This window comes from Homo sapiens, chromosome 17, assembly GCF_000001405.40.
Source record: "Homo sapiens chromosome 17, GRCh38.p14 Primary Assembly".
Classification (NCBI taxonomy): Eukaryota; Metazoa; Chordata; class Mammalia; order Primates; family Hominidae; genus Homo; species Homo sapiens.
Window position 1 is genome coordinate 59,277,045 of NC_000017.11, and position 23,952 is coordinate 59,300,996.

Sequence of the window (23,952 nt, forward strand, 5' to 3'; positions counted from 1 at the left end):
AAGAATCCATTGGAAAAAAAAAAATCAAAAGAGATTCTGCAATAGATAAGAATGACAAGTTAAGGGTGGCCATGAATGCCAGGCTGAAGAGTTTGTTCTAAACTGAAAGTCATACAGCTCAAGTAGATGGCTAAACTTGAGACAATGGAAACAAGAACCAAAACTGCTAGGCAATAATATGACATAATGATTTCAGACACAAAAGAAAAATGTGAAAAACAGTCTGCAACCAGGCCTCAAAACAAAAGCAGAACTAAAGAAGTCAGATGCAAGCGTCAGAGAGGAAATCAAAATGCTCGGAGCATACGAAGACATTTTCTGTGCCTCATTTAGGTAGCGCTGAAAAATTAATGTTTGGAAAGTTGATCATCCTATAATCTGAAAGAAAGATACAAGCCTAGAGCAGAGAACTGTCCAGAAACCAGGTCAGAAGTCTAAACAGATTAATACAAATCTAAATTGCCATTAGATGGCATAAAAATTTGGTGGCCAGGTGCAGTGGCTCACGTCTGTAATCCCAGCACTTTGGGAGGCTGAGGCAGGGAGATCACTTGAGGCCAGGAGTTCGAGACCAGCCTGGCCAACATGGCAAAACCCCATCTCTACTAAAAAAAAAAAAAAAAAAAAAAATTAGCCAGGTGTGGTGGTGCACACCTGTAATCCCAACTACTTGGGATTACACGAGAATTGAGGCAGGAGAATTGCCTGAATCCAGGAGGCGGAAGCTGCAGTGAGCTGAGATGGCACTGCTGCACTCCACCCTGGCCAACAGAGTGAGACTCCATCTCAAAATAAAAAAGAAGAGGCCGGGTGCAGTGGCTCATGCCTGTAATCCCAGCACTTTGGGAGGCTGAGGCGGGCAGATCACGAAGTCAGAAGATTCAAGACCATCCTGGCTAACACGGTGAAACCCCTTCTCTACTAAAAATACAAAAAATTAGCTGGGCGTGGTAGCACGTGCCTGTAGTCCCAGCTACTTGGGAGGCTGAGGCAGGAGAATCACTTGAACCCGGGAGGCAGAGGTTGCAGTGAGCCAAGATTGTGCCACTGTACTGCAGCCTGGGCGACAGAGCAAGACTCCATCTCAAATAAAAAAAAAAAAAAAAGGAAGTAATGGTACTATAAGTAGGGAAACAATGAATCTATGTGTCTCTGTAAAGGAAAAATTAGGCCAGGTGCGGTGGCTCACGCCTGTAATCCCAGCACTTTGGGAGGCTGAGGAGGGTGGATCACCTGAGGTCAGGAGTTTGAGACCAGGTTGAGCAACATGGTGAAACCCTGTCTGTACTAAAAATACAAAAATTATCAGGATGTGGTGGTGGGTGTCTGTAATCCCAGCTACTCTGGAGGCTGAGGCAGGAGAATCACTTGAACCCGGGAAGTGGAGGTTGCAGTGAGCTGAGACCATGCCATTGCACTCCAGCTGGGCAAAAAGAGTGAAATTCTGTCTCAATAAATAAAAGTTAAAAGAGGGAAGAAATAATAAGAGCTGGCGACTGGATAAGCTTAAAAGAAGAAGGGAAAGTTACAAAGCTGCAAAAAAATGGGGAACCTGGAGAGGAGAAACAATGTGGTGGTAAAGATGATGAATGTGGGCGCACTTGAGTTTGAAAGGGCAAAAAGAAGTTTGAGTGGCTATGCTTTAGATATATTCGCCCTTGGATGAAAGGCTAAATCTGGAGGAATAGATTTAGGCATTTCCTGTACTTCACAGGTATGAATTTGCAAAGTTAGCTCTTTAGAGGTGATATTAGTTGCTTCTCAGTATACTACTTGCAGTTTGAATAGTACCATGCCACCAGATGCCTAGTTCGTGAATGCCTAGTGAGACTGAATAATAACATACAACATAACAAATGATCTCATTCATTTATGCCTTTTTCTTTCAAAAGTAGAGAGCTCTATTAAAACAGACATAATTTTTTTTTTTTTTGAGATGGAGTCTTACTCTGTCTCCCAGGCTGGAGTGCAATGGTGCAATCTTGGCTCACTGCAACCTCTGCTCTCGGGTTCAAGCGATTCTCTTGCTTCAGCCTCCCAAGTAGCTGGGACTACAGGCACATGCCACCACACCCAGCTAATTTTTGTACTTTTAGTGGAGATGCACTTTCACCATGTGGCCACGGTGGTCTTGAACTCTTGACCTCAAGTGATGCACCCACCTCGGCCTCCCAAAGTGCTGGGATTACAGGCGTGAATCACCGTGCCCAGCCAAAACAGGCATAATTTTAACTCATCGCATTATTTATGAAAAGAATACATTATTCTGGTTTGTTGAGTAGTTTTTAAATTTAGTTTTTTAAAGTCCTAAGATAACAAGGCAGGTCCTGGACAGCCTCTCCTGGGCAAGAGGAGGCTGAGCAGGTGTAGCAGGTTACCCATTCCCACTTTGATGAGAGCTGCTCCACTTTTTTCTGTTTCATATATGAGTTCAACATAAAATTGATTTGAAATAGGAATTATCTGCAAAAACCTTTTTTGCATTCTTTGTTCTAAGATTTTTCCCTCCGGACTTTAATAGAACCTCCCTCTCTCCCCTCCTCTTCCTCTCTTTCTTCTTCCCTCCCTTCCTTCCCTGATAACTCACTCAAAGCCTTTTAAAAATTCAGTCAGTTCCCTTAATGGTTTATGATTATTTTTTTCTGGTCAGAAACTTCTCAAGAACAACCAATAGGTGGGGAAGGAGGGGTGAGAGACAGGCATAGGATATGAACAGCTAATTCACAAGTGTAAATGGCCAAGAGACATGAAAAATGTTTAACTTCCCTCATAATAAAAGACTTACAAAATGAAATGATATTGAATATGATACTAATTCCCGACTCTCAGGTAAGCAAGAATGAAAGTGTTGATGAGAGGCATAGGAGAACAAGCACTCATAAACTGTTGGTAGGAATATAAATTGACAAAGCCCACGCCTCCTCCCCCACTTTTTTTTTTTTAAGACAAAGTCTTGCTCTGTTGCAGACTGAAGTGCAGTGGCATGATCACAGCTCACTGCAACCTGTGCCTCCTGGAATCAAACAATCCTTCCACCGCAGACCCCTGAGTAGCTGGGACTACAGGTATGTACCACCACGCCAGCTAATTTTTGTATTTTTTTGTAGAGACAGGGTTTTGCTATGTTGCCCAGGCTGGTCTTAAACTCCTGGGCTCAAGCCATCTGCTCACCTCAGCCTCACAAAGTGTTGGGAATATAGGTGTGAGCTACAACACTTGGCCTTGGCAGAACACTTCTAGGATAAATTTGACAGTACCTTCAAATACATCCTTTCATCAGAAATTCCAGTGCTAGGAATAATATTCCAAGAAAAAAATAGGATGAGTGTCCAAAGATACATATGCAGAGTGAAAAATTGGAAACAACCTAAATATACAACATTAAAGGACTGGTTAGGCCAGGCATGGTGGGTCACACTTGTAATCCCAGCACTTGGGGAGGCCAAGGCGGGCGGATCACTTGAGGCCAGGAGTTCCAGACCAGCTAACATGGCAAAACCCCGTCTCTACTAAAAATACAAAAAAAAGTAGATGGGTGTGGTGGTGCGGGCCTGTAGTCGCAGCTCCTTGGGAGGCTGAGTCACCAGAATCACTTGAACCTCCCGGGAGACGGAGGTTGCAGTGAGCCAAGATCACACCAGTGCACTCCAGCCTGGCTGACAGAATTAGACTTCATCTCAAACAAAACAAAACAAAAAACAGTGAGGGAGGCCGGGCGTGGTGGCTCATGCCTGTAATCCCAGCACTTTGGGAGGCCAAGGTGGGCGGATCATGAGGTCAGGAGTTAAAGACCAGCCTGGCCAACATAGTGAAACCCCGTCTCTACTAAAAATACAAAAAAAAAAAAAATCAGCTGGGCGTGGTGGCAGGCTCCTGTAGTCCCAGCTACTTGGGAGGCTGAGACAGGAGAATCGCTTGAACCTGGGAGGTAGAAGTTGCAGTGAACCGAGATTGCACCACTGCACTCCAGCCTGGGTGACACAGCGAGGCTCTGTCTCAAAAAAATAAAAAAACAGCAACGAAACAGTGAGGGAGGCCGTGCATTCCATTCCAAGGCATCTGTGAGCCCACAGAGCAGACACCATGAGCAAACCTCATTCTCCCCAGTTGAAAAAATTTATGAACAAGAAATTATCATTGAAATTAAATGATGGCAGACATATTGTGAAGATTTGATCCCTTTATGAATCTTGTGATAGATGAATGTGTGGAGATGGCGACTAGTAGGCAACAGAACAATATTGGAATGGACGTAATATGAGGAAATAGTATCGTCATGTTAGAAGCCTTGGAATGAGTAAAAATAATGGCTGTTCAGCAGAGAAACCTATGCCCTCTCTCTATAGGTCCTGTTTTACTATGATGTAAAAATTAGGTCATGTACATTTTCACATTAGACTTTTTTTTTTTTTTTTTTTTTTTTTTTTTTTTTTTTTTTTTTGCGAAGGAGTCTTGCTCTGTTGCCCAGGCTGGATCTCAGCTCACTGCAAGCTCTGCCTCAGCCTCCCGAGTAGCTGGGACTACAGGCACCCGCCACCATGCCCCGCCTTTTTTTTTTTTTTTTTTTTAAGTTTATTTAACAAAATGTATGGCCGGGCGTGGTAGCTCACGCCTGTAATCCCAGCACTTTGGGAGGCCGAGACGGGCGGATCACCAGGTCAGGAGATCAAGACCATCCTGGCTAACACGGTGAAACCCCGTCTCTACTAAAAATACAAAAAAATTAGCCGGGCGTGGTGGCGGGCACCTGTAGTCCCAGCTACTCGGGAGGCTGAGGCAGGAGAATGGCGTGAACCCGGGAGGCGGAGCTTGCAGTGAGCCGAGATCCAGTCTGGGCTACAGAGCAAGACTCCGTCTCAAAAAAATAAAAATAAAAATAAAAAAACAAAATCGCAAAACAAGGGACTGGTTAAATAAATTATGATAGATCCTTGTAAAATATGAATGTTCTATATCTAGTGATATGAGAATATTAAGTGAAAACACTAAGCCACAAAATTGTGTATTGTGTAAATAAAAAATATTCATCTTAAAGGTCTGAAATGCTATCTGCCAATGTTAATAGTGTTTTTTTTTAATTGTGGTAAGAAGGCTGGGCGCGGTGGCTCACGCCATTATTCCCAGCAATTTGGGAGGCCGAGGCAGGTGGATTACCTGAGGTCAGGAGTTTGAGACCAGCCTGGCCAACGTGGTGAAATGCCGTCTTTACAAAAATACAAGAATTAGCCGGGCATGATGGTAGGTGCCTGTAATCCCAGCTACTCAGGAGGCGGAGGTGGGAGAATCGCTTGAACCCGGGAGGCGGAGTTTGCAGTGAGCCAAGATTGTGCCACTGCACTCCAGCCTGGGCAACAGAGCGAGACTCTGTCTCAAAAAAATAAATATATAAATACAGAAAAAAATAAGATGAAATCATTCAACTCAGTTGTGATTTCACAAGTCATCAACAAAAGAGTTAATCATTGAAATTAAGAGAAAAAGCTGAAGGAAGAGTTCAGTAGGAAAAAGAATGACCCAGAAAGTCAAGTTTGGAATATGCTCAAGGGAGAGAAGGTGTGGTCTGAGAAATAGAAGCAAGGGAGAGTATGTTTTCAACCCCATGAAAACAGAATTTAAGAGAAAAGGTAGGCTGGGCGCGGTGGCTCAAGCCTGTAATCCCAGCACTTTGAGAGGCTGAAGTGGGTGGATCATTTGAGGTCAGGAGTTCGAGACCAGCCTGACCAACATGGTGAAACCTGGTCTCTACTGAAAATACAAAAAATTAGCCGGTGTGGTGGTGCACATCTGTAATTCCAGCTTCTTGGGAGGCTGTGGCATGAGAATTGCTTGAACTCAGGAGGTTGCAGTGAGCTGAGATCGTGCGACTGCACTCCATCCTGGGCGACAGAGCAAGACTCCATCTCAAAAAAAGAAAGAAAGAAGGTGATTATCATCAATGCCCAAAAGAGAATACTGAGATTAAGGGCCAGAAAAGGGATAACTGCGTTTTTTTTGTTTTTTTTTTTTTGAGATAGAGTTTCTCTCTGTCACCCAGGCTGGAGTGCCGTGCCATCCTCATGGCTTACTACAGCCTTGACCTCCTAGGCTTAAGCGACCCTCCCACTTCAACCTTTAGAGTAGCTGAGACTACAGGCTTGCGCCATGACGCCTGGCTGATTTTTGTATTGTTTGTAGAGATGAGGTTTCGCCATGCTGCCCAGGCTGGTCTCAAACTCCTGAGCAATCCACACTCCTTGGCCTCCCAAAGTGCTGGGTTTACAGGCATGAGCCACCGCACCTGGCCTGCATTTGTTTCAAAAGGAGGCCTCTGTAACTATGATTCAATTATCTCTATAGTTGATGGAACTGATATGAGACTGCAAAGGAATCAAGAGGACTGAATTATACTAAATGAGGCTAGTAAAAATCAGCCACTTATTCACAGGAATTAGAAAATCAAGACATCTGAAAGGGCAGCAGTATCAAGTGAGTTGTGTTCTATGTGGGAGGCTTATAAATGTGTGAAAACAAGAAGGAGCTAGTGGAGAGATTGGAGATATTGGAGAGAGAGGACATGTGAGCAATGATCGCTTCAAGACTGTGTGGCTTGTAATTTATTCAACGAATCCTTAGATTCGCTGAATGCCTGCCTTGCCAAGCACCTGTGAATCATACTGAACATTTCCTGCCCTTGGTACTTATGGTCTAGTTAAGTTATCCAGAGCTGAGAGAAGGAAGAGGTATCTTTTTTATACATACTTCAGGGAAGGATGGGAAGAAAAGTATAAAAGACTGGGATGGGCCAGGCACCGTGGCTCACGCCTGTAATCCCAGCACTTTGGGAGGCCGAGGCGGGCAGATCACCTGAGGTCAGGAGTTCGAGACCAGCCTGGCCAAAATGGTGAAACCCCATCTCTACTAAAAATACAAAATTAGTCAGGCGTGGTGGTGCAGGCCTGTAATCCCAGCTACTCGGGAGCCTGAAGCAGGAGAATTGCTTGAACCTGGAGGTGGAGGTTGCAGTGAGCCAAGATTGTGCCATCTGCACTCCAGCCTGGCCAAAAAGAGCAAAACTCCATCTCAAAAAAAAAAAAAAAAAAAAAGAAAGACTGGGATGATTTGCACTTGAAAGAGGATAAAGTAGTAAAGCCAACTAGTGTGGTCTGTTACTCTTCTTATAGGACATCAGTCCTATAGGATTAGGGCCCGCCCTTATGACTTCACTTAACCTTAATACCTGCTGAAGACTCAGTCTTCAAATACAGTCACACTGGGGGTCAGGGCTTACACATATGAATTTGGTGGGGGAGGGGGGCGTGGGGGGCACAATTTAGTTCATAACAGGTGGGGATGGGGGTCAAAGCAGAGAGCTGGAGATTGGTTATGTGCGAGAGGAGGCAGAGATGGGAAGGGGAAAAGGCAGCACTTGCAGCTGACCACAGAAGGGCTAGGAGAGAGAAGAAATCTAGTGTAGCCAGGGATTGTCAGAAAGAGGTTGTGTATTTCTTTGTTTCCTTGGATACCTACTTGGAGATTTAGAGTATTGATAACAAACAATCTAGATCACTAGGGGGAGGAAATAAACTTTTCAAAGGTTTAAATTCTTTATTTTGAGACAGAGTCTCACTCTGTCACCGAGGCTGAAGTGCAGTGGCATGATCTCGGCTCACTGCAACCTCCACCTCCCAGGTTCAAGTGATTGTCCTGCCTCAGCCTCCCGAGTAGGTGGAATTACAGGCATGCACCACCATGCCCTGCTAATTTTTGTATTTTTAGTAGAGACAGGGTTTCACCATGTTGGCCAGGCTGGTCTTGAACTCCCGACCTCAAGTGATCCACCCACCTCGGCCTCCCAAAGTGCTGGGATTACAGACTTGAGCCACCACACCCAGCCTCAAATGTTTAAATTCTGATTAATTTGAGGAATAGTGAATTTGAAAGTTTGGGCATTGTTAAAAAACGGTAAATGTTACATTTATGTGAAGTTTAAATTTTTCTTCACATTTACATGTATTCCTGTGTTTCTTACTACAACCTGGTAGAGCAGTTGAGATTATCACCTTCCTGTTTTTTATATGAAACTGTGAGTTAGATGATACCTTCAAAGGGAATTTACAGGGTCACCTGGCTAGAAGTGATGTGGTTGGGTCTCCTTAACCTTCCAACTCACTCTCACTTTTCTAATTTTTCTTCCATTCACCATTCAATGCTGAGAGAAACGTAAAAAGCCGGGAGAAAGGGCAGTTGCAATGTTATGCTATAGAAAGTAAACTTTCCAAATAAAAGCTACAAAACAGAAAATTCCCATATGCCAAATGTACTTACTGTTCCCTTACTTAAACACTATTAATAGCATTTGTGGAGATAGGAATCAAGCTACTATTCCCATGAATAACTGAAACCATTGCCTGTGGGAACAGATGGAAAACTATACCACTACCTTTTTGAGAAATTAAGAAATCCCAGGTAAGAACAAAGTAATATTAAACATTTGTCATTCAACACTCAGAATTGGTTTGGCTTATACAACTAGATAGATGAATAGTGGGGTCACTTACTGAGATGGAGAAAACTGAGAAGGAAACAGATTTCCAATGGGAATGTGAAACATTCTGATTCAATTCACATTTTGAGAAACATTATCCATCACTTCTCAGCCTTTTGGCTAAGATCAAGTGAGAAACATCCCAAGCCCAAGTATGCATACCTTAGGCTCAACAAAATGACTAGACAACTTCAACCCTACTTTGAAGGAAGGAATTCAGTTAACCTTTATTTAGTACCTTTTGTATGCCAGGTTGCTATCACACTCATCATCTTATTTAATCTTCACCATAGTGTTACGAGATAAGTAGTATTATTTCTGATTTATAGATGGGGAAATAGAAGCTCAGATGGGTTGAGAGACTCACGAAAAATTGCACAGATAGTAAGATGACAAACCTGGCATTCAAACCCATCTATTTTTTTTTTTTTTCGAGACGGAGTTTTTGCTCTTGTCGCCCAGGCTGGGATGCTGTGGCACAATCTCGGCTCACTGCAACCTCCGCCTCCCAGGTTCAAGTGATTCTCCTGCCTCAGCCTCCTGAGTTGCTAGGGTTACAGGTGCTTGCCACCATGCCTGGATAATTTTTGTATTTTTAGTAGAGACGGGGTTTCACCATGTTGGCCAGGCTTGTCTCAAATCCCTGACCTGAAGTGATCTGCCCACCTCCGCCTCCCAAAGTCCTGGGATTACAGGCGTGCGCCACCGTCCCCAGCCTTTAATCCTAAATCTTGAGAGAGCAAGTTCAAAGCTGTTTTTAACACAAGCGCTGCTATTCTTTCTCCGTAACCTTTGTCACTGAACTTCTTAAATAATACTTTGGAAAGAGTGTCGTAAAAGAAATAAAATTTGGCTGAATGCAGTGGCTTATGCCTATAATCCCAGTACTTTGGGAGGCCGAGGCAGGAGGGCTGCTTAAGGCCAGGAGTTCGAGGCCAGCTTGGGCAACATAGCAAAACTCCAACTCTACAAAACTTTTTTTTTTTTTTTTTTTTTTTTTTTGAGACAGAGTCTCGCTGTGTCACCCAGGCTGGAGTGCAGTGGCTCAATCTCGGCTCACTGCAACCTCTGCCTCCCGGGTTCAAGTGATTCTCCTGCCTCAGCCTCCCAAGTAGCTGGGACTACAGGCACATGCCATCATGCCTGGCTAATTTTGTATTTTTAGTAGAGAAGGGGTTTCACCGTGTTGGTCAGGCTGGTCTCGAACTCCTGACCTTGTGATCCACCCGCCTCAGCCTCCCAAAGTGCTGGGATTGAAGGCATAAGCCACCGTGCCCAGCCTCTCTACAAAAAAATTTTTAATTAGCAGGGCATGGTGGTGCACACCTGTAGTCGTAGCTACTCGGGAGGCTGAGGAAGGAGGATCACTTGAGTCAAGGAGTTTGAGGCTGCGGTCAGCTATGATCATGTCACTACACTCCGGCCTGGGCAACTCTCTTAAAAAAAAGGAAAAAAGAAAATTAACTCTCATGTGATTGTTTTCCTTTCTCTTCCAAGTAAGATTTTGGATTAAATACACTAACGTTTGATGCTTAATGTTTAATATTAACGTTGATGTCTAATACAACTGCTGTATGGTGTTATGGAGAGAATTTTTTTCACTTCTTCATTCTAACCATTTTCATCATATTTATGAAAGAAAGAAATTTGAATTTTTAAAAATACAGGCATTTCACCTTTTCTGTCTTCTGTTCTCTTGGAGGCCAAATAGTAAAATTTACTGATGATGAGTCTATAGTTGTGTCTACTTATGCGGAAAGTACAGATGAACTATATAATCCTTCACAAGTTCTTTCCTAACCCTTCTCTTTCTCTTTTTTTATTTTTAATGTTTTTAAACAAGATCTCACTCTGTCACCCAGGTTGGAGTGCAGTGGCACCATCATAACTCACTGCAACCTTGACCTCCCAGGCCCAAGTGATCCTCCTGCCTTGGCTAATTTTTTGTTGCATTTTTTTGTAGAGACAGGGTCTCCCTATGTTGTCCAGGCTGGTCTCAAACTCCTGGGTTCAAGCAATCCTCCTGCCTCGGCCTCCTAAAGTGCTGGGATTAGAGGCATGAGTCACCATGCCCAACCAACACCCTTCTCCTCTGTGGCTGATTCATTTCCCTTTTTGATGGATATGCCTGCAGTCATCATTTTTTAGGTCATGTGATTCTGAAATAAGAAACATTTAGGCACTTTTGCAAAATATAACAGGATGCACCTGGTCCTACTGATCACTAAGAACAATCCAAATTTAACCTATCAGAAACTTAAGATAAATGATATCCTCTTAGAAGAAAGAAACCTCTTGACTCAGATGAGGAAAGCTGAGAAGTATGACATTTCCCTAGGGAAAATATTATAGTTTTCTAAATTCATTCATTTTTGGAATAACTTCTCCCAAATAACTTGTTTTTTAAAGTTATTACAACCACTCACACCTATAAGAATGGCTACTATTTTAAAAATACAAAAACAGGCCAGGCTCTATGGCTCATGCCTGTAATCCCAGTGCTTTAGGAGGCTAAGGCTCGAGGCCAAGAGTTCCATAACAGCCTGGGCAACACAGCGAGACTCCAGGTCTTAACAAATTTTTTTTTTTTGATTAGCCAGGCATCTACAGTGAGTCATGATTGTGCCACTGAACTCCGGCCTGGGCAACAGAGATCCTGTCCCCAAAAGAAAAAAAAAGGTCAAAATAAATTTGATAAACTTATGTGTAAACTGGCCAACTGATATTTACACACACACACACACACACACACACACACATATATATATATATATATATTTTTTTTTTTTTTTGAGACAGACTCTGTTTCCCAGGCTGGAGTGCAGTGGTGCAATCTTGGCTCACTGAAACCTCTGCTTTCTGGATTCAAGCACTCCTCATGCCTCAGCCTCCCAAGTAGCTGGAATTACAGGTGTGTGTCACCACACTGGGCTAATTTTTGTATTTTTAGTAGAGACAAGGGTTTCACAATGTTGGCCAGGCTGGAAATCCTGGCCTCAAGCAATCCTCCTTCCTCAGCCTCCCAAAGTGCTGGGATTACAGGCGTGAGCCACCCTGCCCGGCCAACATTGATATTAAAACTACACCTAGTTGGGCGAAGTGGCTAAGGCATGTAATCCCAGAACTTTGAGATGCCAAGGCAGGAGGATGGCTTGAGCCTAGCAGTTTGAGACTAGCCTTAGCGACATAGGGAGACCCCATCTCTACAAACAAAACAAAACAAATCTCAAATGGAACAAAGATTTAAATATCAAGAAAATGAAACAATAAAAATTCTTTTAAAAAATAGGCTGATAGGCCGGGCAAGGTGGCTCACGCCTGTAATCCAGCACTTTGTGAGGCCAAGGTGGGTGGATCACTTGAGGTTAGAGAGTTGGAGACCAGCCTGGCCAACATGGTGAAAACCCGTCTCTACTAAAAATACAAAAATTAGCCCGGCGTAGTGGCACACACCTGTAATCCAAGCTACTCGGGAGGCTGAGGCAGGAGAATTGCTTGAGACCGGAAAACGGAGGTTGCAGTTAACCAAGATGGTGCCACTGCACTCTAGCCTGGCCGACAGAGCGAGACTCTGACTCAAAAAAAAATTAGGCTGATGGCCGTGTGTGGTGGCCCATGCCTGTAATCCCAGAACTTTGGGAGGTTGAGGCAGGAGGATCACCTGAGGTTGGGAGTTCAAGAGCAGCCTGGCCAACGTAGTGAAATCCCGTCTCTACTAAAAATACAAATATTAGTCGTATGTGGTGGTGCACACCTGTAATCCCAGCTACTCGGGAGGCTGAGGCAGGAGAATTGCTTGAACCTGGGAGGTGGAGGTTGCAGTGAGCCGAGATCATGCCACTGCACTCCAACCTGGGCGACAGAGCTAGACTCTGTCTCAAAAAAAAAAAAAAAATACGCTCAATTGGCCAGGCACGGTGGCTCCCACCTGTAATTCTCACACTTTGGGAGGCCAAGGCAGGAGGATCACCTGAGGTCAAGAGTTTGAGACCAGCCTGGCCAACATGGTGAAACCCTGTCTCTACTAAAAATACAAAAATTAGCCGGGTGTGGTGGTGTGTACCGGTAGTCCCAGCTACTCGGGACACTGAGGCAGCAGAATCGCTTGAACCCAGGAGGCGGAGGTTGCAGTGAGTCGAGATCGTGCCACTGCCCTCCAGCCTGGGCGACAGAGCGAAACTCCATCTCAAAATCAGTCAATCAATCAATCAATCAATAAAATAACCAGCAGTCTTTGAAAAACACTTTGAGGAGAAAGAACTTTGACTCCAGGGGAGGAGAGCAAGGTTGTAAACACGGCTCTGCTCATACTGGCCCAGTCCTATCTGATGTTGTCCAACCCAATAATCTGGAGTCAAAAATAAATCTTCCAGATCTTCTAGTTGAGACTTAACTAAATAAGAGCTGTATTTGCCCTTGGATACAAGTACAAAGAGGGGGCCTAGGGCCACTAGATTTTTCAGGTCTCTAATCCTGAGGTTGAGCAAAGCTATCAAGGGTTGCTGCTTCAGTTTCCTTAAGGTAATCAGAGGCCAAGACCTCTGAGTTCCCTTAGTATTTGTTGATCATTATCGGGCGTGGCAGGATAATAGGATAATAATGGAGAGAAAGTCAGAAGGTAAACACGTGAACAAATGTCTCTGCATCATAAACAAGGTAAAGAAAAAAGTGCTGTGCTTTGGATGTGCATATACATAAACATCTCAATGCCTTAAGGAGCAGTATTACTGCCAGCATGTCCCACCTCCAGCCCTAAGGCGGTTTTCCCCTATCTCGGTAAATGGAATATACAATCGGCTTTTCACCGAGATATTCCATTGCCCAGGGACAAGCAGGAGACAGAAGCCTTCCTCTTATCTCAACTGCAAAGAGGCGTTCCTTCCTCTTTTACTAATCTTCCTCAGCACAGACCCTTTACGGGTGTTGGGCTGGGGGATGGTCAGGTCTTTCCCTTCCCACGAGGCCATATTTCAGACTATCACATGGAGAGAAACCTTGAACAATACCTGGTCTCTTTCCTAGGCAGAGGTCCCTGCGGCCTTCCGCAGTGTTTTGTGTATCTGGGTACTTGAGATTAGGGAGTGGTTTGAGATTAGGGAGTGGTGATGACTCTTAACGAGCATGCTGCCTTCAAGCATTTGTTTAACAAAGCACACCCTGCACAGCCATTTAACCCTGAGTTAACACAGCACGTGTTTCAGGAAGCACAGGGTTGGGGGTAGGTTTACAGATTAACAGCATCTCAAGGCAGAAAAATGTTTCATAGTACAGAACAAAATGGAGTCTCCTATGTCTACTTCTTTCTACACAGACACAGTAACAATCTGATCTCTCTTTCTTTTCCCCACAATCTTCTGGAATCATATGTTGTATGAATTATATCTTTTTTTTTTTTTCCTTTCTGAGACGGAGTTTCACTCTTGTTGCCCAGGCTGGAGTGTGCAATGGCTCAATCTTGGCTCACTGCAACCTCTGCCTCCCAGGTTCAAGCGATTCTCCTGCCTCAGCCTCCAGAGTAGCTGGGACTCCTACAGGCATGCCCCACCACACCCAGTTAATTTTGTATTTTTAGTAGAGACGGGGTTTCACCATGTTGGTCAGGCTAGTCTCAAACTGCTGACGTCAGGTGATCCACCCGCCTCGGCCTTCCAAAGTGCTGGGATTACAGGTGTGAGCCACCATGCCCGGCCTGTATGAATTACATCTTAATCTATAAATATTTGAATCTCCTGTATGTCCAAAAATATCATAAGTCAAAAGACAGGGAAAAATATTGCAGCACATTTGATAGTTCATAAAAGTGAAGAAGGAACTGATGAACAATCCAAAAATAATACAGGAGGCCAGGAGTGGTGGCTCATGCCTGTAATCCTAGCACTTTGGGAGGCCGAGGTGGGCAGGGAGTTCAAGACCAGCCTGTCCAACATGGTGAAACCCCGTCTCTACTAAAAATACAAAAATTAACCAGGCATGGTGGTGTAATCCCAGCTCTGGAGGCTGAGGTAGGAAAATTACTTGAACCCAGGAGGCAGAGGCTGCAGCGAGCCGAGATTGCGCCACTGCTCTCCAGCCTGGGCAACAGAGTGAGACTCTGTGTCAAAAAAAAAAAAAAAAAAAAAAGTAATAGGGGAAAATAATATAAATAGGCAAGTTAGTGAGAAAAACTTCTAAAATAAATCTCTTGTTATAAACCAAAACTTTTTCAGTTCTAGGAAATCAAATATGAAAAAGAAAAAAATATATATATACCAAAAGTTTTGAGGGCAGTTAATCTTCAGAATGTGTACTTACTGCTTCTCTTCCTCAGAGCTTCCAGGCTTACTTAGTCCTGTAATTGCCCCATATCTTTGCCATTTTACAGCCTGGTTTGTTTATTTGTTTTGAGACCAGATCTCACTCTATTGCCTAGGCTGGAGTTCAGTGGCATGAGCATAGTTCACTGTAGCCTCAAACTCCTGATCTTAAGTGATCCTCCCACCTCAGCCTCCTGAATAGCTGGGACTACAGGCACACGCCATCATGCCCAGCTAGTTTTTCTTCTTTTTTGTAGAGATGGGGGGTCTTGCTATGTTGCCCAAGCTGGTCTTGATCTCCTGGCCTCAAATGATCCTCCTGCCTTGGCCTCCCAAAGTGCTGCAATTATAGGTATGTGCCACTACACCTGGCCAGTCTGGTCAGTTTAATTAATTGGAACCTTGAGTTAATGAGATGTTGGTATGACTTTGATCCACATTACAATTTGTCACCTCTTGCTGAGAAGAACTGTTCCATATCACTGAACTCTGGCAATCTGCCTTCACAAACGTGTGCCATTATTCACAGGAAACCAGAGAGAAATGGTGCAGCTGGCTCATTGTAAACTGTTGAGAAAATCTGAAGCACAATATCCAACTGATATTGTCAGTAAAATCATCTTCAAAATAAAAGGTATCATATTGGAGTGACTTTTTCCCTCAATGTGCACATCCAATTTTCATTAGTTTAGTAAACACATATGGAATGTCTAATGTGTACAAAACTTTGAAATTGGGCCCTACCCTCAAGAAAATCTTTTTTGTTTTTTTTTTTGAGACAGAGTCTCGCTCTGTTGCCGAGGCTGGAGTGCAGTGGCGTGATCTCGGCTCACTGCAAACTTCACCTTCCAGGTTCAAGTGATTCTCCTCCCTCAGCCTCCCAAATAGCTGGGATTACAGGCATACACCACCATGCCTGGCTAATTTTTGTATTTTTAGTAGAGATGGGGTTTCACCATGTTGGCCAGGCTGGTCTCGAACTCCTGACCTCAGGTGATCCTCCTGCCTTGGCCTCCCAAAGTGCTGGGATTACAGGCATGAGCCACCATGCCCGGCCAGAAAGCCATATTTTAGAAGAAAAGACTTAGAATAAGAGCTTAATGGCCTAAGGACAGTTTCTAACTTGTCATCTTATATTTAGTTACTAACCTACTATTAATCCATAAGTTATACTGAAAGTAGCTGTGTAAGAACTAATATTTATATAGTGAATTATTCCTTCAAGCAACATTAAGTGTCTTCTGTGTACCAGGCACTGTCCTAGAGGTTGAAGATTTTATAAAGTATAAGATGCAGTCCCTACTTGCAAGGGATTGATGGGCAATTACACTTTGCAAGGCATTATATATATTACCTTACTTTATTCTTCATTCTAGGCATTAAGAGATAGAGCAGGCTGGACACTGTGGCTCACGCCTGTAATCCCAGCACTTTGGGAGGCCGAGGTGGGCAGATTACCTGAGATCAGGAGTTCGAGACCAGCCTGACCAACATGGGGAAACTCCATCTCTATTAAAAATACAAAAATTAGCCGGGAATGGTGGCACATGTCTATAATCCCAACTACTCAGGAGGCTGAGGCAGGAGAATCGCTTGAACCCGGGAGGCAGAGGTTGCAGTGAGTCAAGATGGCACCATTGTACTCCGGCTGGGCAACAAGAGCAAAACTCCGTCTCAAATAAATAAATAAATACATAAACAGAGAAATACAGCCTCAGAGTTCCAAGAATTGCTCAAGGTTGATCATCAAATAAATCACAGAGTGGAGTTTTCTGATGACATAGCTCATGATATATACAACAAGGATTAATATTTTGTACCTAAATTTAGAGAGAGCCTGGAGCTCTGATTTCTTTCTCTATATCTCCTTCCCTTTTTATGCTAGACATAAGGAAAATTTTATTCTGATAGTTAAGTACATTTGTACTTGATATTTTTGAGAACTGGTGGTGTTCTGGCTATTTCTCTCTTGAGACTACTTAGGCAACAATCTTAAAAAGATTTTAAATGATATCATAAAACTCCAAAGTATTTTTGTTGAAATTTCTGTGTCACAAAACTGAAGTACGCATTATTCAGTAGAGCAGAGATTTCTTACATTTTTCTGTTTGTCTAAAATATGTAGAGCAGGTATATAAATTCCACTTTCCTTTGGGTACTGCAGTGACGTACAGAAAGACCTTTTATTACACCGAGCTTCTGGAGCGCCAGAAACTCATCTTATCCACCTCTATTTCCATCTTTCCCAACCTGGCAAAATGCATATGAGGCACATGGCAGATGCTCATTAAAACTTGAAGTGGAAAAGAGCAAGAAAAGAGAAACTGAGTTATGGAAAGTCTCTTTTTGGGTGGACAACAACAACAGAATTCTTCAGGGTTAATATTTCAGATAATTTAATTAGTCCCATATTTGCAATTAGAAGAAATAGCTAAGAAATCTATGAACTTCCTTCAGTGTTTAGTGGGTGAAAAGAAAATAGCCTCCTTTGATCGAGACCATCCTGGCTAACACGGTGAAACCCCGTCTCTACTAAAAATACAAAAAATTAGCCGGGCGAGCTGGTGGGCGCCTGTAGTCCCAGCTACGCGGGAGGCTGAGGCAGGAGAATGGCGTGAACCCCGGGGGGCGGAGCTTGCAGTGAGCCGAGATCGCGCCACTACACTCCAGCCTGGGTGAAAGAGTGAGACTCCGTCTCAAAAAAAAAAAAAAAAAGAAAAAGAAAAAGAAAATAGCTTCCTTTGAGTAAGAGCACTCTGGTTTTTATTGTGGTTTGGTTTGGTTTGGTTTGGTTTGGTTTATTTTCTTCTCATATAATCAGCAGTCTTTGGGCCAGGCACGGTGGGTCACGCCTGTAATCCCAGCACTTTGGGAGGCCAAGGCGGGAGAATCATCTAAAGTCAGGAGTTTGAGACCAGCCTGACCAAATTAATGAAACCCCTGTCTCTACTAAAAATACAAAAAATAGCCAGGTGTGGTGGTGGGCACCTGTAGTTCCAGCTAGTCCGGAGGTTGAGGCATGAGGATTGCTTGAACCCAGGAGGCGGAGGTTGCAGTAAGCCAGGATCAAGCCACTGCACTCCAGCCTGGGCGACAGGGTGAGACTCTCTCCCAATTAAAAAAAAAAATTATCTGAGGTCGGGCATGGTGGCTTACACCTGTAATCCCAGCACTTTGGGAAGTTGATGTGGGAGGACTGCTTGAGCCCAGGAGTTTCAGACTTGCTTGGGCAACATAGCGGAACCCCGTCTCCTAAAATATCTATATATTTTAGTGTTTACAATGTGCTAGGTTCTATGGATAAAGTAGTGAAAAAGGCAGACAAGGTTCCTGTTCTGAAAGTCCATTCTGAAATTTTAATCCAACTTGTGTGCAGGTTGACTAAACCACCATTGTATTTTATCTGACTCAGCACGCTTTTTTTTTTTCGAGACGGAGACTCACTTTATTGCACAGGCTGGAGTGCAGTGGCATGATCTCGGCTCACTGCAACCTCTGCTTCCCAGCTTCAAGCGATTCTCATGCTCAGCCTCCTAAGTTACAGGCATGTGCCACCACGCCTGGCTAATTTTTGTATTTTTAGTAGAGATGGGGTTTCACCATGTTGGCCAGGCTGGTCTCAAACTCGTGACCTCAAGTGATCCGCCCGCCTTGGCTTCCCAAAGTGCTGGGATTACAGGCATGAGCCACCACGCCTGGCCTCAGCACTCTTTTTTATTAACTCCCCACAGAAAAGAACAATCTAAGAGCAGAAAACTTGAATGGCATCTGATTTTAATTGATTAAACGGATTAGTACTCCTTTCTTTTTTGGAAAAGCAATCATTCTCCTTTCTCTTGCCTGGAAAGAATAAATGCCAAGTGCTGAAGGTAAAAGCTATACACAGGCAACATTAACCATTTAGTCTCTGTGCTTTTCCATTTCCAGGATGTGTACTTAACTGCATTTTGGAAATATAAGTTCTTTCAACTGTTATTTCTGCCTTTTATACATCAGTGTAGTATTTATAATATTGAGATGGAAATATTAGAGAGGAGGTCCCATTATGTTGCCTAGGCTTGCCTCGAACTCCAGAGCTCAAGCTATCCTCCCACCTCGGCCTCCCAAAGTGTTGGGATTATAGGCGTGAGCCACTGAGCCGAGCCTTGAGCTGGGAATTGGCTTTTTCTGTAAAGGGCTAGACAGCAAATGTATCAGGTCTTGCAGGCTATAGGGTCTTTGTCACAACTACTGAACTCTGCTGTTACAGTACAAGAGCAACCATAGATCTTGCCTAAATAGATAAGTGGGGCTGTGTTCCAATATATATTTGCATTTCATGTACTTTTCATGTGTCACAAAATATTATTCTTCTTTTGATTTTTTCTAACCATCTAAAAAATATAACATCCATTCTTACAAACAGGTTGGATTTGGCCTGTGAACCATAGTTTGACAGTCCCTGCTACAAAGGACTGGTTAGTTCAGTTAATCAGGATCTGGTGATGAGGCCAAGGCTGTGGATTTAATCCTCATGTGAATGATCAAATTACCTTTGCACTGGTGAACATGTTGCAATCTCAAATTCCGCCCTCATTTCTTGCCGGTAACTTGAAGATGTGGGCCATTATTGTCACCAGAAGAAGCCAATAAAAGATGCCATTTCCTCATGCTTCCATTTCTAATATAGCTTACTGATGATTATCCACATTCAGTCACTGGAAAGTTTTTTTGTTTGTTATGTTTTTGTTTTTGTTTTTTTTTAGACAGCCTTGCTCTGTTGCTCGGGCTGGAGTGCAGTGGTGCAATCTTGGCTCACTGCAACCTCCACCTCTGGAGTTCAAGCGATTTCTGGATAATTTTTTTGGCATTTTTGGTAGAGACGGGGTTTCACCATGTTGGCCAGGCTGGTTTCGAACTCCTGACCTCAAGTGATTCGCTCGCCTCAGCCTCCCAAAGTGCTAGGATTACAGGCGTGAGCCACCACACCCCGCCACTGGAAAGTTTTTGAATTCTACTTTTTCAGAGTAGAGTAACACAAATTGTAACATGCTCCTCATCCCCATAATTAGAGCAGCTATAGGAAAACTGACTCATAAGCCTTTCAGATAATTATCCAAGAAAGTAAAACAGTAAATTTGTTGTGCAAATTTAATATTCATCTTGAACGTTTTATTGACCAAGATCATATCATTCTGTGAATGCCCTAAGCAATTCCGGTAGCCTTGCTCTGGGAGCAAGAGGAGTACTTTTGTTTCCTGTCTGGATTATTTCTGAGCGCTTTTGAAAGACCCGGAGCTCTATTTACCTTAACTAAGAATTGCAAGATAGCTTTGTGCTGTTTTCATGTGAGAAGGTTTTAGCTTTTCTGCCCTAGATTCTCTTGCTTCTTTCACACCTCTTAATTACCTGCTTTTGAAATGGCTTTGTTTTTGAGGTAAGTAACTGGCCATAGGAGATTTGTGAAATGTGTAGAGCCCTTGGGGGAGATTTGTAAACACAGCCACTCTTTGTCACTTATCATTGTAAACTGGCATTCCTCCAGTAGAAATGACTTTTTGGTTACAGGTAGAAGTAGGTTAAAGGTTGGCAAAGCCTTGTCACATGGAATAGTTGCTAAACTGGATGTTACAGAATTGAGGTTTGGAGGAGTGATTCCTGCTTGTTTCTCTGTGTTATCAATAGTAACAAAAAGTTTGTACGGAAGACCTGGGTTCAAAAAAAGAAATAAAAATTTAAAAAGGCCAAGCATGTTGGCTCACATCTGTAATCCCAGCACTTTGGGAGGCCAAGGCAGGAGAATTGCTTGAGGCCAGGAGTTCAAGGCCACCCTGACCGATATAGTGAGACCCCATCTCTAAAAATAAATAAGTAAATAAATAAATAAAATATCAAAATAAGGCCAGGCACTGTCGCTCACGCCTGTAATCCCAGCACTTTAGGAAGCTGAGTGGGGTGTGGGGGGCGGGGGGTGGATCATTTGAGGTCAGGAGTTCGAGACCAGCCTGGTCAACATGGTGAAACCCTGTCTCTACAAAAAAAAATACAAAAATTAGCCAGGCATGGTGGTGGGTGCCTGTAATCCCAGCTAGTCAGGAGGCTGAGGCATGAGAATCGCTTGAACCTGGGAGGTGGAGGTTGCAGTGAACTGAGATCGTGCCACTGCACTTCCAGCCTGGGTGACAGGGTGAGAGTCTGTCTCAAATAAATAATAAAATAAAATAACAAAATAAAACAAGAGAATTCCTGGGTTCAATCACATTCTGCTGAAGTCTGAAAACTTAGAATCATACTTGATACTCCCTCCAACCCCCGACCTTTTTTTTTTTGAGATGGAATCTCGCTCTGTCACCCAGGCTGAAGTGCAGTGGCAAGATCTCGGCTCACTGCAACCTCCGCCTCCAGGGTTCAAACGATTCTCATGCCTCAGCCTCCTGAGTAGCTGGGATTACAGGCACATGCCACCACACCAGGCTAATTTTTGTACTTTTAATAGAGACGGGGTTTCACCATGTTGGCCAGGCTGGTCTCGAACTCCTGACCTCGTGATCCGCCCACCTTGGCCTCCCAGAGTGCTGGGATTACAGGCGTGAGCCACCGCGCCCGGCCGATACTCCCTTTTTCTTATACCTCAATCCCATCAAAGAACCTTGTCAGCTCTACCTTCAAAATGTATCCAGAATCCAATCCCTTCTGAGGAGAGCAAAGATCACCTGATGATCAAGCAGGCACTGGGGACAAAAATTCCTTACCTGGAGAATTTAGAAGTAATTAAACTTCCTTTGTATCTAAAGTCTGCATCTGGTTCCAGGTCTCTTTCAAAACAATTTCTAAGTAGCTAGAATTTCTATACATCTCAGGAATGTCATATGGAAAATCATTATGCAATCCTTGCTGACATTAAGGCACCAAAATAGCTACAAACGTAATCATTTATCATGGCCTACTAATATGGTCCAAATTACCCTCAAGCTTCTGCCTTAAGGTCCATAAATATTTCTAAGGAAAATCCAAGTCCTTTCTTGCTGAGGCACCTCGTTGGCTTCTTCTGCAATGTTCTTTGTTTCTAATACAACTTTCCTTTATCAAACCTGTACTGTTGTCAGTCAATTCTTCTTACCAGACAGCGGGTTGACCACTTTTCGATGCCGGGGCTCTAACACCTCGCCCAGCACCTTCTTACTTCCTACAATGCCACAACCCTTGATAATTAAGAAATGAAAAATGAAAGAAAGAAGTCCGGGTGCAGTGGCTCACGCCTGTAATCCCAGCACTTTGGGAGGTGGAGGCAGGCGGATCACCTGAGGTCAGGAGTTGGAGACCAGCCTGGCTAACATGGTGAAACCCCGTCTCTACTAAAAATATTTTAAAAATTAGCAGGCATGGTGACGGATTCCTGTAATCCCAGCTGCTCAGGAGGCTGAGGCAGGAGAATCACTTGAACCCGGGAGGCGGAGGCTGCAGTGAACCAAGATCGGGCCATCGTACTATAGCCTGGGCAACAAGAACGAAACTCTGTCTCAAAAAAAAAAAAAAGAAAGAAAGAAAACAAAGGTACTCATCTGAAATAGCCCTTTATACCTTCTCATTATCTCTCACCCTTATCCAGTTTCATTTTTATCCATAGCACATATCACTAGCTGACATTTTTTTTATATATTGATATATTTGCTAGTTTTTTATCTGTCTCTTCCCACCAGGATATAAGTCCATAACCATAAGGAATTTGTTTTGGCTACTGCCTTATCTCAGAGCTTAGAACAATGCTTGGCACATAGAAGGTCTCAATAAATATTTGTTAAATAAATGAATTGTTATATTGCAGCTTCAGCTGTGGATCCACTTACAAATTAGTTTTTGTCTGGACATGAAATACTCCCCTTTCCTGATAATAAGCACTATGACTAATTTAAAAGTTGATCACAGATTGCAAAATGGGTTTGGGGACAATGATATCAATCCATGTGTTGCAGGCACTGAGATTTTATTGGTTGACTTCTAAGCCCAAAGCTAAGAAGGCAGTAGAGTGGAGGAAGAGGAAAATGAATAAGCCATGGTCTTCCTAAGCTAAACTGCTTGTGCTATAGTCAAGGACTTTGACCCTGGAATCAGACAGAATTAGGAAAGCAAATCTTAAGAAATGTGATAGTGCTGGGCACAGTGGCTCATACCTGTAATCCCAGCACTTTGGGAGGCCAAGGCGGACAGGTCACCTGAGGTCAGGGGTTCGAGACCAGCCTGACCAACATGGAGAAACTCCGTCTCTACTAAAAATACAAAATTAGACAGGTGTGGTGGTGCATGCCTGTAATCCCAGCTACTCGGGAGGCTGAGGCAGGAGGATCTCTTGAACCTGGGAGGCAGAGGTTGTGGTGAGCCGAGATTGCACCAACGCACTCCAGCCCGGGTAACAAGAGCGAGACTCCGTCTCAAAACAAAGTGAAACAAATCAAAACAAAAAAAAAATGTGATATTTACAGGGTGACATATGCAGGTAGAGGAAATGGTCCCTCCGGATCTAAAATGCTCTTTTTGATTTGAAAGATAAAATACAAGGAGAGGATAAGGAATATACAACAAAAATAAATTTGTCTTAAGGTGGAATTTATTTTATTTATGTGTTTAATTGACAATAATTGTACATATTCATGCAGCACATAGTAATGTTACCTTTTTTTCCTTTTTAAAACATTGTTTTCTATCACTTGTGTTTCACACAGGACATAATGATGTTTCAATACATATAATGTATAGCGATCAGGTGAGGATATTAGCATATCCATCATCTCAAACAGTTATCCTTTCTTTGTGTTGAGAATGCTCAATATCCTTTTTTGTGAGACATGGTCTTGCTTTGTCACCCAGGCTGCAGTGCAGTAGCATAATTATAGCTAACTGCAGTCTTGACCTCCCAGGCTCAAGCGATCCTCCCGCCTCAGCCTCTCGGACCACAGGTGTGTGCCACCGTGCCTGGCTAATTTTTTTTTATCTTTTTCTTTTTCTTTTCTTCCCTCCCCTACCTTCCTCTCCCTTCCCCCTCCCTGTCTCCCTCCCTCCCTCCTTCGTTTCCTTCTCTTCTCTTCCCTTCTCTTCTCTTCTATTCTTCTCTTTACTTTTCTTCTCACTATGTTGCCCAGGCCGGTCAATATCCTTCTC

At 43.4% G+C, this 23,952-nt stretch overlaps 1 pseudogene, besides 2 other annotated features; it reads left to right on the forward strand.

Moving 5' to 3' along the window:
• Window positions 240-319: an enhancer, noted in NCBI's record as "active region_12505". NCBI's record gives its function as "activates an Ori minimal core promoter by ATAC-STARR-seq in GM12878 lymphoblastoid cells {active_cell/tissue: GM12878}" and the evidence as "EXISTENCE:reporter gene assay evidence [ECO:0000049][PMID:35858748]".
• On the forward strand, window positions 4,027-4,407 carry SNRPGP17 (small nuclear ribonucleoprotein polypeptide G pseudogene 17; annotated as a pseudogene).
• Window positions 13,024-13,871: an enhancer, noted in NCBI's record as "OCT4-NANOG-H3K27ac hESC enhancer chr17:57367429-57368276 (GRCh37/hg19 assembly coordinates)". NCBI's record gives its function as "activates a minimal SCP1, AML or CMV promoter by ChIP-STARR-seq in naive and primed H9 embryonic stem cells {active_cell/tissue: H9 hESC(naive and primed)}" and the evidence as "EXISTENCE:reporter gene assay evidence [ECO:0000049][PMID:30033119]".